The sequence below is a fragment of the Homo sapiens genome, chromosome 7, assembly GCF_000001405.40.
Source record: "Homo sapiens chromosome 7, GRCh38.p14 Primary Assembly".
NCBI classification, from domain to species: Eukaryota; Metazoa; Chordata; class Mammalia; order Primates; family Hominidae; genus Homo; species Homo sapiens.
Window position 1 is genome coordinate 93,448,080 of NC_000007.14, and position 19,911 is coordinate 93,467,990.

The 19,911-nt window shown below is 35.4% G+C and overlaps 1 protein-coding gene across 3 annotated transcripts in view; it reads right to left on the reverse strand.

Annotated features, from left to right (window-relative positions):
• CALCR (calcitonin receptor) overlaps positions 1-19,911 on the reverse strand; it is a 150,239-nt gene that overhangs the window by 23,594 nt on the left and 106,734 nt on the right. For 2 of the 3 annotated variants that reach the window (NM_001742.4, NM_001164738.2), the window contains one exon: positions 12,742-12,868. In NM_001742.4, coding sequence (NP_001733.1) covers positions 12,742-12,868 — 127 coding nt within the window. Of the gene's footprint in view, positions 1-12,741; positions 12,869-13,983; positions 14,032-19,911 lie in introns of all 3 variants that reach the window. The other variant, NM_001164737.3, reaches the window with a different exon arrangement.

Genomic DNA, 19,911 nt, shown 5'->3' on the forward strand with positions numbered 1-19,911 from the left:
AAAGTAAGCGCTCTGAAAACTTTGGCAAGGCCAAGCCTGTGCATATTTCATTTTCAGGGTATACTTAATTCTCATGATACATTTCGTGTGCACAAAAACTCTTAGCTTTCACACACACACACAAAAAACTACTGCAATTTCTCCCTCTCATTGGTAAAACTGGGGTATTAGATTCAGCTTCTGTGTTGATTTCATATGGTTAGGTACAATAACACATTAAGGAAAATTTTGTGAGATGTTTTAGTTTTGTTTTGCTGTAAAACAAATTTGGCAAAGGAGAATTAAAAATAACAGCCATATGTTTCCTATATTCTGCCAGGATTTGATTAAAATGCATACTTTAGATAAGCTCTTTTGGTTTTTCAAAACAGTGGCTAAGTTTGATGCAGTAACTGTGCTTGCATTTTTGTGTCCAATCCTGGGCTAGGGCTGCAAAAATAAAGTTCAATGCTTGCAATCAAAGAAGTTACCTTCCGGTGGGGAGACAGATACATAAACAAATAAGTGCCACTATGTACAATGATTTCTAAAAAAAGTAATTTTTGTAGCCTATTTTAAGACAGTTAAAAATTCTCTTCTCAGTTAAGTCAGAGGAGAAAAAATGGATCAGACTAGTGGGGCTTATGTTATTAATATTAAATAATCTACCCAGTTTGTGTGAAAATTTATAAGGAACAGATTAGCAGATTCTGCCAAAGTCAAACACATTCTACTTTATTCCAACTTTTCTATTTTTGGCGGGCTGCAATACAGGCTACTTTACAGTAAAAGAGGTGGCTGACTGTTGATTTACTTTTCAAATTCGCATGGACAAAACTGAGGCAAAATGAAGAGCCTGAAGAGTATCTTCTCTGTTTCTTTAGTTACTAGAGGGCCAAATAAATATGTTTGGAAACTTACAGCAAACAACTAAAACCACATTACCCACTATACAAACATATTAATAAATAAAATATTTAAAAATTATTTCGAAATGGTCTAAATAGTACCAACTCCACAATACTTTGCACTGAATCAAAGCTGCCAATTTTATTTCTGCCAAGTTTTGTTTCAAAACAGAAATAAACTTTTCTATATGTTCAGCATGATCTCTAATGATTAAAGATAGTTATTTACATTTCCCTGAAGCTTCTAAAAATGTTTTCTTATCAGTTTGCTTTAGCACAGAGGGAAGAGTGTGAAGTGATGTTTACTTGAACAGGTGAAGAAGAATCAATAAGTCAATTTCTAAATATTTTACCTGAAGGAAAAGACATTTTAAGAGAGACTGAATGATAAAGATTTGTGGTCTATGTTGGTTAAATTGGCCAGGTTAATTTTTTTATTAAGTTTTATTTAATGTATATCTAGACTACATATTGAGTGAATGTGTAATTGCTGTTAAATATGTTTCTACCTGATTCATCACCTTTATGTCTCTGCTGCCTCTTCCATCTCCACCCTCAGGACTTAAACCCAATAATATTTATATAGAAAGTGAGCAGTAGTTGCTTATTAAATCAAAATGAATAAGGCTTTGGGTAGTGTTTATAACGTTGTTCGATTGAAAACATTTTAACTCCTAATTCAATATTATTTTATCAAGTATCCAAACAAGAGCTGCTTATCTATGATCTGACAAATAAATTCCAGGGAACTTTTTACCTAACAGCACTACAATTCTTACAAATGTCTACAAAGATCAGTACATATCTGCAGCGGTCAGGCTGCTGACATCAATAGAAAACTTACAATGCTGGATGAATTCCTGTGGGGGCATCTTAAATTTTTGTCAAGTTTTTCTAGGTTTCCAGTGTGAGTTCTTTAGAGGATGGCAGTCCCTAAGGTCTGCTATACCCTGTCATTTATCCCCTGCAGTCTTGGTCAAACAGGTGTTTCCCTTTGCGCTATGGTCTTCAGACTGGGCATGCGTATGTGCCTTTGGGTATAGGCAAAGGCTGCCCAAGGGGCATGTGAATATTCCATGGCCATTTGCACCATTTTGTAGCATTCTTTAAGCTATCCTTTTCCATCTATCCTTTCACTTTACAACATAAAAGAACACTTTTCATCTGGAACAAAGTTTACTGTGGTTCATTACTCAAGTGTTAAACAACTTCCAAATGTCAAACAAGGGACAATGGAAAAACCTCCTTTAAAGATTAGTAAAGGTGCCCTAATCCTACCTTGAGATGTTCTGTTTTCTCTGTCAGACCTCTTAAAGTAAATACATTTGATATGAGGTATTCTAGCTTGTTGGAATGCTCTATGAAGGGTATGGCTGTTAGATCATCTTTTCATTCATACACTAAATAATACATATTAAACAAGTATGATGTGCTCATGGACTCCACATTCACATGGTTATGTGGTCAGTGAAAGACTACACACAAGTATATACACAGAATCTGAGGCCCCTCTTCTCTGACTCTTTTCTTTTTGAGATTTATTTCCTTCACTTTTGGGGAGCTGTAGCTGCCCTAAATTCTGTCTTATATTATTCAAGTCAGTAAAATTGAGAGTTTTCTATCAGAGTTTTACTTGTCCTGGAAAGGGATAAAACCAAGGGAACTCTACTCACAACTATCTCCATTTTAAAGTCTCATCTTCTTTCTAGCATCTCCCTGTCTTGGTCTCTCTCCAGGGTCTTCAGATAATTTCTTTTTATATTTTGTTCAGGGTTTGTAGTTGTTATCTGTGAGAGGTTTTTGCCAGACAGGAGCTACTCAGCCATCACCATTTTATTTTTAATCAATTTCAGATAATGAACCACTGTAATATATACCCTGTAACATCACATGAAAATTATGGTAGTAGGATAATCATATGGGAAAATTTAAATAAAACAATTTTCTTCAAAAAGTGGTCTTATATGATTCAGATATTACAGGATATGTAGCTCAATAACAGTCCATCTACATTTCAGGAGTAATCTTTTTCCCCCAATTTATCTATTTAGTTGTAATACTTTTTTTTTTTTGAGACACTTCCTGCCTTCATGATTTGTAGTTTATGTTAATGCCTTTCTGGTCTTGAGATAATCCTCAAATAAAATATTTAAAAATATAGTTGCCTGTAAACATCGTAGTTAAATTTTGATAGTATACTTGCTTTCACCTCGTAACAATAGTTCACATTTTTAAATTATTTACACTGCATGCAAATCATCCAGAACTTTTCAAAACCCTTGAACCTATTACATGTAAAATCCATAAGCACTTTTTCTCATAAAGAAGAGATGCAAGGCTTATTTATCAGCCAAATTCAATTACATGTGACACTAAGAAGGATGCTCGCCACTGAAGTCCTATTTATGTATGCAATTGAATACTTTTTCTGCAATGGCCATCTTTACATGGGGTTCATTTAAAAGCATGTCCTTTTCTGCTCCCCTTATCATTTCAATTAAAAGAAAATAAGTTTTGTCTGAATCAAATATACTCAGAGTCCCTTCTTTCCACCCCTCCATCCCAAACTGTATTTCCTCAGAAAAAGAGCAATTACAGAGAAAACAAACAAACACACAAACAAAAAAATGATGGAAAGGGTCCCACTTCATGGGGTCATCACACAAGTTTCGTTTTTCACCAGTCAGCCTTTGTCCATGAGAAATAATTTGAGACTCTGATTCAGAAGTTGTGGTGTGGGGCTTGAGATTCTGCATTTCTTATTTATTTATTTAAGCATAATAATCTTTTAATTTTATTTTTTAGTTTTTTAAATTTCTCCTTTTATTACAGATACAGAAGATACATATACACCATGGAATACCATGCAGACATAAGAAAGAATGAGATCATATCCTTTGCAGCAACATAAATGCATCTGGAGGCCATTATCTTAAATTTATGAATGCAAGAACAGGAAAACATGTATCACATGTTCTCTGTTACAAGTGAGAGTTAAACATTGATCACACAAGGACATAAACATGGAAACAACAGGGACTGGGGACTACTAGAGGCAAGAGGGAGAGAGGAAGGTATGTGTTGAAAAACCAGTTATTGGGTACTATGCTCACTACCTGAGTGACAGGACCTGTACCCCAAACCTCAACTCCACGCAAGATGCCCATGTAAAAGCCTACATGAGATTCTGCATCTCTAACCGAAGCCCAGGTGATGCTGATGCAGACCACATCTTGGAAGAATTTAGGGTTCAGAGAGAGTCTCCTCAGTACTTGTTGCAGTGAATTTACTGCAACTCCTGTTGTTGTAAACTCCTGTTGCAGTAAACTCACAACCCAATGAGAAACATCCTGACTTTGATTCACATATATTTTAAAACCTCATAAGGAGGAATTACAGGCCTTTTTGTCAAAATACCAGTTCAGTTGATAAACTAAGGGACAAAAAGACCCTCGGCTCACCTGGAAAACTGTCAACCTGTACAGTCTTTAAAGCCAGCTGAATGAAGTAGAAACTTCATCAGAAAGTCTAGCAGTAAGCAGCTTTGTAGGAAAATACTGCAATCTTTCTCCAGAGGAATTTAAGGATGCAACATTTTCAATTAAAAGTGAGTCTGTTATGCAATCTTGAGATGATTCCTGATAAAGCCTCAGAGAAAATGAGTTTGAGTTTATGGAACTGTGTGGTTGTGATTTGGTGTGTTTAGGAAAAGAATTAAAAACAAACACTGGAGAAAAAAGTCTCATCTGAGATAAATACAGCAGGAGATGATCCTGAAATTGGCAAAGGAAGCACTTTGGAAGTATTAAGAAGACAATACCAGGGCAAACAGAAGTGTAGGCTCTACACAATTCTGATTAAAAAACAAAACAACAACAACAACAACAAAGAAATGTGATAGGGGAATAAAAGTTAACCACTTAGTACTCTTAGGGTTTTTTCTCTATATGGTATAGTGAGAGTCTTATATCACTCTTCATTAGGGATGCTCAAGCCACCACTTATTTAGCTGTATATTTTCAGACCACAGCCCTTCAGGTTATTTGTTATTTACAAGCCTCTACATATGTGTATTCTACTTTTATGCTTAGTCCCTTTTAGATTTAAGCAGTGTTTTACAAGTGCCCTGAGTTTCACACCTCCTGTGCTGTATCACACAGAAATGAACAAGGTGCCACAGTTAGTAATTGACAGGTGATAAAGCCCTAATGATAAAGCTAACAACGATAATACAAATAATGACAGCTGATTTTTGAGAGTTGTGTGTCAGATGACGTTTTGTGGACTTTAGGCATATTAGCTTATTTTTCACAGACAGCTTTATGAGAAAGGTACTATTATGATCTCCATTTTATACATTAGGAAAGCAAGGCACAGTTAGGTTAAGTAACTTACTCAATATTAAAGATTCATCTGTTAAGTAGAAGAGCGAGGACTTAGATCCTGAAGTTCAGCAAGAACAATGATGTAATCTGGAGTAATCCAGCTAAGCACAACAAATATCAAATCGAGTGTCACTTCACAACGTTCCAGCAATGATCCAACATACCCTAACGGAGTGTGCAAACCTCTACCATCTCAATTGGAAGCTCTTTGACAATAAAAACAAATATATAACAAATTCTGCACTAAGTTCATGACAGCCTTCTCAAAGCAGGGGAAGCTAACTGCAAATTTTGAGATGAAGACTTTCTGTGTAAAACATGTCACAAGATACCATTTGTAAGTCACTGATTTCATGTGTAGAGGTACCACCAAGATCGGCCAAATGAAAGAAACTGGAGATTGGGTATATGTTTATATCCACTTTAGGAAGAGATTCTCCTTCAAATCCGTATGAGAAAGCATCCAATTATAAATAATAACTTTAAAAAGGAATAAAGAAATCCTCTATACTTTTCTGCACCATGTGACCTTGGTTAAAAGACCATTTATTGGTTTTGACATATAAGTAAACTGAAGTAGCATAGATGACCAGGGTAGGATACTTCATTCCATTACCACATCTTGGCATTACTGTCTCTGCATTGTCCTTCAAATGCATCATACACTTTCGTTCCCAATCTAGTTTTTTCCATAAGCTACTGAAATAGATCATTTCAATCTGGTTTTATTTACCATTGACCTCTCATCTCAAAAACTCTGCTATCTCGGTTACCTCTGTCACATTTACATACTGTCCCTTGCACCAGCCTCCCTTGGGCTGGGCAGGAGTCCAGTTTCCACCCTGGGTTTTGTCTTCTCTAGTGTCTTGGCTCTGAGCATCCATTCTAAGCTAATCTTCCTGTGACTACCTAAGAAGAAGCTCCTACACAGCCTGGTGGCTCAATCGTTCTGAAAAAATAAAGGTTAGAAGACATTCATGTTGCTTTCCAGAACTTGGAACTCATTTGACTTTACTTATATAAGAGGCTATAGAAAATAGGACTCGATTGTTTCAGTTTCTGAGGTGCAAAGTGCTCAGGTTTCCAGTAAAAACTAATCTCTCTGCATTGTGCCTTTCAGAACCAGATAAAAAAAATTAGAGAGAAATTTATTTCTAAAAAATGACAAGTATCCTGCTAGCTTCCTTTAGATGCAGCAAGAACAATGCTTTTAATTCTGCCTCCTGACTTTCTACATGAAGCTCATCGAATGAGCAGATAGAACAAAAAAAAAAAATAACATTTCAGATATTATGGAAATGAAATGCTCAAATGACACAAATAACAATGGGCAATTTTCACATCACTCAATAAACTGAGGATGTATTCAGCCCCTCTTTATGCCATGAGTTATTTTGAGTTTAACTTTTTTTAAAAAAAGAACATGGAAGGAATAAGATTCTCACCCTTGGCCATTCAGGAGATAATATAACTTTCCAAAAACTACCCAGGGAAGAAACTACTTTAATGGGAAAAGGACCACAAATCCACAGGGATTCTCCACTGACAGTGAGGACAGGGCATTTTGTGTGTGTGTGTGTGTGTGTGTGTGTGTGTGTGTGTGTGTTTTCCTTACCCTCAACAAAATAATAACCAAAGAAAAACCTTATAGAAATAGTGTGACAACATTTGGGATAAGGCAAACTTCCTCTTCAAAAAATAACTTTTTAATATATCCCCATGGGCATTGGTGAGGAAAATCATTGCTGATTCAGTGACCCTGAATTGGTCCAAAATGAAAACAAACAAACAACAACAACAAACACACAAAACCCACCCCTCTGTCTGTCTTTAGTTTGCTTAAGAATAAACTGTCTTTAAAAATTATGTATTGTGGGTTTTTTTTGAAGAAAACATATGCCCGAATTACTGACAGATGACATGCTGATAGATACGCTTTTCTTTATTTATAACTGTGGTTGTCGTTCTCATATTAGTTGCAATTTCAATAAATATTTGTAGGTTGACAATGTTCAATAACTTCTCTTTCCCCAAATTTTTTTTTGGCTGCTTTTCTTTGTCTCTTCTTCTTCTTCTTCTTCTTTTTTCCCCTTGTCTCTACTTTTCTTGGCTAGGGAGGACCTTAATCTAATGTATTCTGGAGTGTCAGTTTTTCAAGAAAAATTCAGTATTTAAAATAATTTATTTCAAGTAATTTTAAATATATGATTCTTCATGTGACTTAGTAATGTTGATGACATGATTCTCAGCCTTTGGATACTATTTTGCCTGTATCCTTAGAAGTGAAGAATTCTATCCTAGAAAAGATGGGTCTTGAAAATAGCAATAAAATCTTTCCTAGTTCTTGTTTATCCCCTTCATAATGAAATGTATTACAATGGGGAAAACTGCTTTCATGATAACTGAATTTACAGTTTCAACTGTAATCTACTTTAATAATCTTTTGGATGAGAAAAGATACTCAAGAAATTGGACTTCTATGACAGAATATGGATTTTCAAGGTGAAATACAATACAAATTTCACCATGTGTGTTCCTGTTGGTGGTGGCACATAAGCAGTTTCAAGGATGAATAATGTATAAAACATGTCTTCTTGAGAATTATTTCCTTCCCTTTCTTAAACTGATTTTCCCATGCCTAGAGAGAGCAACCCTATGTTGCTTGTATATGGAGGATTAGATAAGAGATCTAACAAAACTCTCATTGGAAAACGACTGTGTTAAAATAGAGAAAGTGCTTAAAAACAAATAGCCTAGTTTATTTCCTCTGGGTGAAGTGTATGCTTCACAATCTACAGACATGAATTAAGTTTTGTCATTGTAGTTATTTTGTTTTAGTCTATGCTGTTTATATGTATTTGAGGAGGGACATGTGTTTCCAAATTTTCTCTTATGGAAGAAACAGACATTTGAAAATATGCAAGAGGCACAGTGTGTTCTCACATATGATATTGCCCCATTGATCATTGTAAGTGGCTTGTTATTGGTGGCTTGTTTTCATTTTGTCTAACTTCAGAGGGAAATGGGCCCTTTTAGGCATATAGAGAAAAATATCCAAGTTTTTTGCCTCTTTGTTTTCTGTAGAAAAAAAAAAACAGTTTGAAAGAGGTAAAAATGTGACCAAACCCCATATGTGTGGTTGCAAGACTCACAAAGCTATTTCCATGTGAGACTTGGCTCATTGTGAGGGATCATGAAGGGGATGTCACAGATATGTTTCCAAAATAGTATAAATTCATTTCAGCCTGAGGGCTAAAAGTTACATTTTTGGTGGTCAATAAGTACTTGATTGATGGGATAAAATTCTATCTTTAAAATGTTTTATTGTTTTTCCTTAGGAAGTTTGCTCTCATATAGCTAAAACCAGCAAGTCTGTTAGGTTAAAAATACATTGGAAGAACCAGGTGCTAGTCATGTCATAAAGATAAGCTTCTTTCCTTTCTTTCAAACATACTTTAAGAATGCCTAGTGTGTTTGGGTGAATCAATCTCACTCCTCTATACACAGAAGAAAGTTTCCTGTTAATTTCTCTGGCTCCCTAAATCTCACACTCATATTCTCCTAGGAAATCAGGTGCCTAGTGGCAGAGCCAGGTCCCTAGACACCTGCTTATGGGGTTTATTAAAGGTTACTAGGTGATACAGGAGCTGCAGGGCATATGTGTTTTGACTTAGTGGTGGCTGGGGGACAGCCTATGTGCTGTGTCTGGCAGAGTCCCTGGGCATGTCTACCCCTAAAAAGCCTACGAAAGTGGAAACATCTAGCAATGACAATAATGAGACTGCCAAGAGCAATTAATAGAGTAACAGATTTGTTGGAAAAGTCAAGTACAGAGACCTAGGGAGTTAGTCATAAGGTGAGAGTTGACAGCAACCTTGTGAGCAATCACTTGTAATATTAGGCCCTTGGGAGTTTTGAAAAGCTTTATGCTTCTTTGGGCTCCAGGACAACCGCTGGGAAGTGAGCAGAGCAGTTTTTGTTATTCTCATTAGATGCATAAAGCTACATGGTTTCTATAATTTAGTAGCAAACTCAGAAAAAAACCTGAATTTTGACTATTTCAGGAAGATAGGTTGAACAAGATCTCACAGTGGATAAGAAGTCCCTTTTACATTTACAGATGGGAGACAGGGAGATATGGGTGTGAGACTCCCAAAAAAAGAAGAGAAAGAGTCTATTCAAGAATTATGATACTTCGTAATGTGACTGAGCATGCTCCCAGATCAATGTAGTTGATTATTCAAAAACGGAAGCCTCATTTCTTGGCCTGCTCCGTACAGAGAGTAACTTTCCTACGGTTTCTACTCTTAATGGGAAATGGAGAGCCAAAATGTGACTGTTTTCTGCAGAGAGATTCTTAGTTAATTGCTTCTACCTCTGTTTTCACCTCAGTGGGGTTCAGCTTCCCTAATTAACTGTAGTGGGCATGTCTGGTTATAGGCGGCGATCACTTCGGAATGGCTGAGCCCATTTCTTTAAGAACACATCTTTCTAGGACAATAAATAAAGACAATCAACAGCACCAAGTGGTAAAGAAGAGAGGTTGGCTGCTGTGTGAGATAGGTCTGGATTTGAATCCCATCTCTAAGTACTCATGCTACGGAGGACACTTACTCTCACCGAGCCTCGGTTTCCCCAGCTTTAAAAATGGGGATAATTCCATCCATTGCTCGGATATTGCAAAGATTAAATTAGAGATAAATTTTCTTTAAATCAATTGACATTAAAAAGGAAAATTCATCAAGATAAACACACTTGGTCCCATTATTCTGCAGGTAAGACTGGACTTTGTCTCTGATAACAGATGCCATGGTTTTAAAAGATAGATTATAATGTCTCTCTGCATATATTCATACCACAAAAATTATTAACACTCTGGAGCCATTAGAAGCCAAATTAAGCTGCTTTCCCACGCCACGCCACTGTCACACAGGATGCATGCTCTGGGCAGATTTCACGCATTTTAGTTATTGGGTTGGCAGAATTGTCAAAAGCCAGTTTTGAAAGATGAGGCTATCTACAGATGTTTGCATAACACAGTTAAGCAGAGAAACAAAAATGAAAATATCCCTTGGCCCTTCACTGTGAGCTAGATAGCTTCTATTTGTGCTTCCAGATGCACTTTCCATCCTGCTCCCACTGCCCTGGGCCCACAGAAATAAATCTGTACATCTCCAGCAGGGCTGCCTTGCCCTCTGGTTTCTGGTTGAGCTCAGCTATGGGGACCATCAGTAGAGACTGGAATATGAGAGTGAGTGAACAAGGGATATTTATTTCTCCACTTCCTTTTGTGGGGTTGCCATAGGCTGGCCGTGTCCTAAGACAGAAGTCTTCAGTTTCCGCAGGGCCTCCTTTACCACACCACCTCTCTGTCTTCGGGTTCATATACCTTTCCCTCCACTTGTCCATTCAGGCCTGGGGTGATAATAGTCCCTACTGTTACTAGATTCCAGCGTATTGTCTCCACATTTGCATTAGGATAAAACATATGGATTCACCAATTTTGCAGAACAAAAATTATCAAATATTCCTAATTTCATACTCAATCTAATAAACAGTTATATCATTAAACTATTTTGAATCATTCAATTAAAGTGCAGTCCATTAACAAATAAGGAAAAGATTTGTTGTTAAAATTAAGGAAAGCAGGTTTGCAAAGGAGAAAGCAGAGAAGTACTTGGGGACTTTTTGGGATGAAAATATTTACTGAGGGCAAAATAACTATTAAATAATAGAGGCTGCAATTATAAATTATTTAAACAGTGGATTGATAAATAAAAATTTCTGTAAAGTAAATGGTTACTTGGTATCACAGCACCAAAGTGATTTGATTTTTAAAAAATTAATCTGGTAGATGTGGAAAACTAATCAACCAGTTTGGTGTTACTAAGCCCTCACTGATTTACAGAGACACATGTGACAATGCAAAGGAAAGAACAAAAACTGAGAGTAAGGAGACCTGAATTTGAGTGCCTGCTCCCCGCTCCAATCAGTTATATGATTTGAGGCAAATTGCTTTGCCTTTTTATCCTCAAGTTTCTGATCTGTAAAATGAGGAGTCAGGGATAAATAACCTCCAAAATCCTTTTTAGTTCTGGTTTTTGTTAGTTTGTAATACCAGGGACTGATATCAATGAAAAAGCAGAGCCTCAAGGTGCTCCTCCTCTGTCCTCCCCTGCCAGTTTATTTGCTTCATCCAGTAGTTGGCTGATGATTTCCAAACTTGGCAGCACAGAAGAAATATCCAGGGTATATTCCTCGGCTCCACCTCATACCTACTGACTCTCTAGTACCATGTGGACAGTAGCTATTTCATATTTATGAAATCTCCCCTGTTGATTCTGAAGTGCAGCCAGGATTGGAAATCACTGTGAAAAACAGTATCTTGAGTATAAAGAGAGAAGACTGATGACAAATATGGGTTATTCTGAACAACTCTCAGGACAATTCTGGTAGGAAAAATCCAGAATGGTTCTCAGTAATGGAGCTAAATGATTTCAGCTCTCCTGTTCTCTATAGTACTCAAATAGAAGGAGGACAGTCACCATATTTGCTTGTTGCAATTGTGCATGTGGGCATGAGTTTCAGAGATGTATGTCCTGTTGCCCTAACTTTTGCATTTCCTGTGTCATTATAAACCTTTTCCAAAGCATAATGACACAAAACATGATCATATTTATATGGTTCATTAGCAAAAGGGAATAGCTACTCATAGGAGAGATGACTGGGCCAAGCCCAACTTGGCAACAGAATGAAGAGGGGATCAATATCTAGGCACACCTGTAACCATTTGTGGCACACTAGAATCACGGGGAAGCACTGCCTTAGTGTACCTAGTATCATCTATGTTCACAAGAGGTGCTCAATACATTTGTCATAAATGTTAATAAATTACTGGTTAGTCTTAGAAATGCATGGTTTGGGCCGGGTGTGGTGGCTCACACCTGTAATCCCAGCATTTTGGGAGGCCGAGGCAGGCAGATCACGAAGTCAGGAGTTCAAGATCAGCCTGGCCAATATGGTGAAACCCCGTTTCTACTAAAAATACAAAAAAATTAGCCGGGCATGGTGTCGCATGCCTGTAATCCCAGCTACTCAGGAGGCTGAGGCAGGAGAATTGCTTGAACCCGGGAGGCGGAGGTTGCAGTGAGCTGAGATCCCACCACTGCACTCCAGCCTGGGCAACAGAGTGAGACTCTATCTAAAAAAAAAAAAAAAAAAATATATATATATATATATATGTATATATATATATATATATGGTTTGTTGTATGATTCTTATCTGCTATAATTTCTTACAGAAACTACATAGAAATGATATGCCTCACAAAATGCAAAACTCGACGGTAGAAGTAAATATGATTACACATGTAAACAGCTGCTTAAGTCCAACATGAACACCATGTTCACTATTTACAGGTACTATATCCTTTAAAATAAAAGTAAAAACAAAACTATGCAGTACTTACCGGGTCCCTTCGCACGAGCTCTCCATTGGGTACTACTTCAACCAGGTGGATGATGATAATCATAGAATTCAGAATGTAAGTAAGAAACATGTTCTTGTGCAGGGTTACCCTTTGGCAGCCAAGGCTCCTGGAAGAAAAAGTAACATAAAGCATTAACCAGTGCCAAAATGTTGGAGTACCTGGAAAAAAACATTTTGGTAATATTTTTCATATTTTCTTTAAAAAAAAGATGAAAGAACATATAGAAGAAAGTAAGGCTGGTCTCCTCTTTCAGATTTATTCCTACTTTTCTGCCTGATTTTAAAAAACATGTTTCCAAACATAGCAGGTCATAGTTTTCAGTCCTCAGGGTGACTTCATAAAATAACTGAAAGAGTGGGTGATAAAATCTCTTTTAATTATAACAAATGTTGTAAAATTAGTTAACAGAAGGACTCTTAGATTAGCAACTATTAGGGTCTGCAGTGTGCTTCAAATGAAAAGCCTACTGTTCATTGTTGCAACCAGGAAGAAAATATGTGGCCAGTGAGGTCACAGAGCGTGAAGTCAGAACCAAGGCTGCCTGTGACAAGGTACTGAATCTATGTCCTTGAGCCATTGCATACACACACTTCACGTCTCCTGGCATCCTCCTCTTCCATCATTTCTGTTACCATCTTCTTAGATCTTATATTTCAACTAGAATCATCACTGTAGTTCCTCTTTTCCAACCCTCCTGATGGTGGAGCTCAGACACAGGCAGAGAATTCTTAATAGGCTCAAATGAAATCTCATTATGAGGCATACTGTGATTTGGATCCAATGAGAGCTATCCAAGTGCTGCTGCTTCTTGGTAGAGTCATTCCCCACCTTTTGTGTATTAAGCAATTTATTGGGGCTTTTATTCTTTTCTCTCCAGTTCATAAAGTTGTACATATGTGTTGGTGTGAATGTTCACATAAATAAACATTAATTTGAATATCCTATTTCATTTTTTGATGCAATAGAGAGAGCCTACATCATGGCTATAACAAAATTGCGGTGATTATTCTAGACAAATGAAAATCTTATATTTATCATATTTGATAAGGCAAAAAATATTAGTATAATGTCATTCACCATGTGAGAGCGTAAAACATGCCAATGACTCATAACACTAACTATTCCTAAAAATATCTTCATGGAATAAAGTTAGAAATGAAGAATTTTGAAAAGGAAATTCTGGGGAAAGATGAAATACAAAAATAGCCTGGGTTTACTTACAATGCCTTCCTATATTTCCAATTCAAAGGAAAAATAGTTGTCAATTTTCTGCAATAAAAAGCAATTTAAGTAATAAAGGCAGCTGTTAGAGCATATTTTAACTATTATAGTTACAGTTTTCAACTTTTCGGGAAGCGATTATAGTAACTCATTAATAAATAATATTTTTAAAAATTTAACTTGTTAAACAGGTATAGGATGTAGAATTTACATCCATGAGGCAGGCTCTGATAAAGACAGGATTTAGAGAAGAGCTTTCTCTTACACACACGCTTCTGTGGACTACTCTATTCAGCAGTACAGAAGTCTGTTAAATAAATCAAACCCAACTGGTTTTATAATAGCACTAAAGGTAGGTTGCAAATTTAAATTTAAACAAAAAAATTACTTATGTGAAACCTCATGCTCGTTTATACTGAATAAACTTCCATCTGGTGACTGCTGCAATCAGCACAGTTGAATCTGTGACCTGCCATCCTTCATAGTCACAACAGCAATTTATAATTCTCACTAGCAGTTAATTATGGGATTCATTGTTTAATTCAGCCTGGCTTAGACCAATGATAATTGACATTATCTAGAACTAAGGAGTATGAATGAATGTATCATACAGCAATGATATTCTTAAGCCTGGTTTTCTTTTGATTGGGGAGTGTTCAATAATCTGCTGTTGTACATTAGCTTAAATGACTTCATTAACTTCATTCTCTTGTGTAAACCCAAGCCACCCTGAATAAAATATACTTCCTCTACCTCCAGCTTACTCTTTTGTGTGCCTGCTCTACTTTTCTTCTTAACACTTATCACCTGCTGACACAGTATATATTTATTTATTGCCTGTTATTCTCTCCTTTCCTCCCACTAAAATGAAAGTGCTAAAGGAATTTATTTTATACATCTAGAACACTCTCTGACACATCATTGGGCTTAATACCCATTTTTTTTTAAATTTAAAAATGTATTTAAGAAAAATGTTCTGTTTTGAGCTGTGACCACTAAGCAATTTTCCAGTACACCAAAGAATTACATTAAATGCTAGATGATTTCCTACTTTATACTTCATATCATACTGAACATTTGCCAAATTCTTCAGTTTCGTATTAACTAGCTAACATGGAACATTATCCTGTTGTTCAACACTAGTTAAAAATGAATATATCATACAGCATATATGCATATAAACAGTATATATATATTTAGATAGATACAGTACATATAAAGAGTACTGTATCTCTCTATATAAAAATATATATATTTTTCATTGGAAACACAGAGAAAATGATAGTTTAAAACTAGATAAACTGCTAGCCTCCAAAGGAGAAGTATGACTAATATATGAGTTTCTGTTTTTTGAAAGTTTTAATATAATTTTTGCTCATTGAGTTTTAAAATTTGTATTATACTAACTTGATGACATTTACAGTCATCTTTTTGAAGTGAGTCGAAGGTATTGCAAATTTTTCAAAATTCATTCAATAATCCAAAATATATGATTGTGCACTCATTATGATCCAGACCTGGTAGATATCAGGAATATAACAGAGGACAAACAGGCGCTCTTGCCTTCAGGGCCCTTATATACTATGCCATTTTTAATTTAATTTTACTGTGATAATTGTTCTGAAGAAGAGGTGTGGGATGCTAGAGAGAATTAATTGAAATTAACATTAAAAATCCTCAGTACAAATACGTCGCTTAAATGAACATGAGAGAAGCCGACAACATTTTTTTGTCAGATCTGAGATGTCTTAGGTAGAAATAGCACTAACTTGACACTGGCTATATTCTATTCCCTTTATGAAAAAAACAGACATTTAGATGGACAGAACATTGCTTATTATTTGAGTGATGGGAAACCATAAGTACCATAAATTCTCCAGTAGTAGGAGGATGAGACAACATAATTTACTTCTACAACATAATCTACCAATCAAGGTGTCATTCAAATGTGAGAAAGAGATAATGATTTACTTGAGTATGAATCTCAAGATGTCACATTTTAAGGCTAAAGCAAAAAGTCATTTTCATGGTTATAGTTCATCTGGTGTAAATCTTTCACATTTGTTTCAAGTTATTAGTACCCTACGTGTGTGTGAGTGTGTACTTTTTGGGAGCTTGTAGTTGTATGAGACGGCATTTGATATTGGTCTTGAGTTTTGCCAGTTGACTAAATCAGTTTGCTATCACAGGGTGAGAAACAGCAGTATTTTCTCCTGTATATCTCCTATGTAAGACAGTGTAATTATAGTCACATTCAAAGCAAACAAAGTAGCAAAAAGAAAACAAGTAAAAGTTGTTTTGAAGTTACTGGTGCATGGGAAAATATGAATTAGGAATCATTTCTGTAATTGGTACAAGCCCAAGTCATATCTTCTAGTGTAACTTTTAGTTTTCATTTACCTAGGATCACGTGTTATTCATGATAAACATGAGAACTGAAAAAAAGAGAGAAAATGAAGTAAAATGGATTGCATTAAAACTCCTGGGAAAATTCAAATACAATATATTATATATCTTCCCTATTTGACAAGAGACTTTATGCCTTTTGATTTAGCACAAAATCCTTATCATTAATAAATTCTCTTTCAATCAAAATTCTTGCTTTTCCTATTACTACTGTTCTATGGGTGAAGAATATGCCGTGGTATGATCAACAGTTATCTTTGGTGTCTGTCCTGCCAGTGGTGAGTTGGAAGAAAGGAGGCCATCTTTGATACCATTGATTTCATGGTTTCCTTGGAGCAACAGGAAGGCAGCTAGAGATGTATAATGGTGGATACTACACAAGGTACAGATTCACATACCCACCCAATATGTAGAGATGACGTAGAACAAAGAGAATAGTAAGTAGTAGAGCAATCAGTCTTCCCTCAGTATGTTCCACTGGAAGCCACTTTTGTTGACCTCCATGATTACCTATATATGCTTTTTGTCAATGTGGCCAATGTAACGTAATGTAGACAATAAAATGAAGAGACCATCTGTTTTCCAACCTATATTTCTATCAGCTTTCAGGCAAGAATAATATTTAAAATACCAATCAGAAAGACATGGATAACAATGAGTCAAAATAAATGCTAATGAATGGTCTGTTATGCTTTTCATGAAGTGATACAATGAGAGGCTTACATATTTAGGATTATTCCACAGAAAAGTAAATTGATAAATTGTAATTGAAATTTATGGATAAGTAAATTTATTGGAAATTTGCTGAAAATGGTCAAGAATCAAACTGAAATAAATGTCCATTTATGTGTCTTTCCCAAACCAGTCTTCCCTAAGGGTATCTTCATTTTAGCTCTCTTGTTGACACTTACTATTGGAATCTAGCAGTAAGAAATCTTGCTGAACTAATTTGATGTTTATATTTAATCCCTTTCCATAATATCATTCCAATTTTTTCTGCGAAGGTTTTAAACTAAATACCATCCTAATAATGCTGTCTTCTATCTTTAACTGGTGTACCAGAAATGACCTGCATATCATCTTGACTATTATTCAAACTTTTGAACAGTTAAGATTGTTAATGCTGACTTTTCCATGAATTAAACCTGAAAAATCTTGTTTTTTCTACATTTTGTCTTTCTCTAGGAAGAATGCATAGAAGATAAATTTTCTGCTATTAAACTGAAGACTTTATGTACATTTATACATTAATTTTCCAACAGCACAAGGAGCATGATTTCTATTTGCTTAAGTTTACATAATTCCACCTTTTACCTTCCCCTGCATGCTCAGAATAAAATTACATTAAGATTAAAGGCATGCTTTAATAAACTAATTCTGAGTAATATCCCAAGTTTTTAGTGAAGTATTGGCAGTTCCAAAGCCTCTTGTATGATCAGTGACTTTAAATTTCTCTGCAGGCCTCCTAGGAGGCCTGCTCATTTGAGGAGGACAGCTGCAGGGTTCCTCCTTTTTATGAGACACATTTGAGGAGTTCTGAGGGCTTTACAGTGAGATTTCAATGGAATGATTGTGAATGGGGCGTCAGCTCTCAGAAGTGGAGCTGGGTAACTTTTCACTCTGGTTTCCTGAAAGTTTTATAAAATTGTTTGGAGTTTGCAAAATTACTCAACCCTGCGAATATAGAATTAAGTAAGGGAGTGATGATATTTTTTGCTCAGGTTGCACACAGATGATCCCATTTAAGTGCATAAATTATGAAACCTATTGTAATGTGCAGTAAAGATCTTAAAGGTGATGGTGATGTAGAGTATTTGAAAAAAAATTCTGGAAAAAATTTGCTAATTCACAAATAAATTCCAATGATAGATCAGTATTATTTTCTACTTCCACAATCACTTTTAATGTTTCTGAAATTCAAATATAAAAAACATTAAAGGGTTAGGATCATACTTAAATTTTAAGAAGACAGATGCCCTTTATATTTTTAGTTTGGGTAAGGTTTAAGATATGATTGAAAACAAGTATAAAAATTTTATACAGCTTTTTTTGGTTTGAATATTTGGCATCTCAGCATATGTGCTTTTCATATCTCATTTGTCTCTTGTTGTGTCTGCTCTGAAGAACCAGCTATTTCAGTTCATTTCTTCTCATTATTAGGCTCAGATGATAAATCAATAAGACTTGTTTTTCTTCCCCAGATTTAAGTTGCTGTTTAGTTGGTTCTTAGAACTGAGAGACGGTAGGGCAAAGTTGGGTACTTTCTAGACAATCTGCCCCCACACTCTCTCAAGGGTTTGATCAGAATCATTTTGCTTTGGGACTAACTGGAGTTGAGAAATATTCTACTTTGCCCTTGTGCCACACTTTAACACACCCATCTTCAGTAGCTTAATATAGAAATGATCGTTGAAAAAAAAATTCTTAATTTCTTTGCTGATTTGGCTCTCACATCTCCTCACTTATTTAAGTGACTGGAGAAATAAAGAATTAAGATCTATGCCTTTGACATTATTACCTTTAAAGTCCTGACTACAATTAGTTGCATGATTACAAATTTGGGGAATTTTTCTTTCAATTTTTTTATGATTATATTTAAAAAACTTAAAAAATATGCTTTAGTGGCATATTTTAAAATAAAAGTTGTTTGAGAACCATGATGATGTGTTTATTTACCATAATGAAGTGCAATTGAAAAATGAAGACATTCCAAGATTAATCATGTTATGTGATTACTGTATTCTGATCATTATCATTGAAAATACTCTTCTATTCTAATTTGAGTAATTAATACTTCATGTCTTTTTGCTTTATCAGTCTTTCTCCTGTTAAACCATTTATGGAAGGAGCTCATTGTCTGTTTGCTTATGTTATCATTTGCTATCCAGTTAAAAATTGCTGTTCACCTCTATTGCTTAGTCAATATAAGAATCTTGACTAAGATATAGACAAAGATTGAAAAATGATGAAGGAAAAAAATAGTACTTGTACTAAGGATGTATTTACAGGTGATTATTCTCCCCTTGGTTTAATTTTCCTTAGTACTATCCTGACAATATTTTAACAAAAATCAAATTAAGATTCTACTATGTTTTAAATTTATTTTTTGCGGTAAAGTATAGATGTATAATGTACCATCTTTACCATTTTAAACATATAGTTCAGTAGTGATAAATGCATATATATTCTTCTCCCCCCTCATTCTATATGTGAATCACTGTACATTTAATCACATACCACATTTTTTAAGTGTGGATGATTGTTGGTCATCTGAGTCTACAAAAGGGCTTTTCTTTATCATTTCTGTGATACCACCATGACTATTATTACTACCAATAATAATAATAATAATGATATCAAACACATATTTCACTTATTATGTGTCAGACATGAATCCAGGCACCTTACATGTATTATTTCATTTTTACCTAATTTACTTCAGTTTCTAACATTTTTACTGAACCGTGGTGTGTCTAAAAAAAAAATACACATACAGTTTACTCTGAATCTACATTTGTGAAC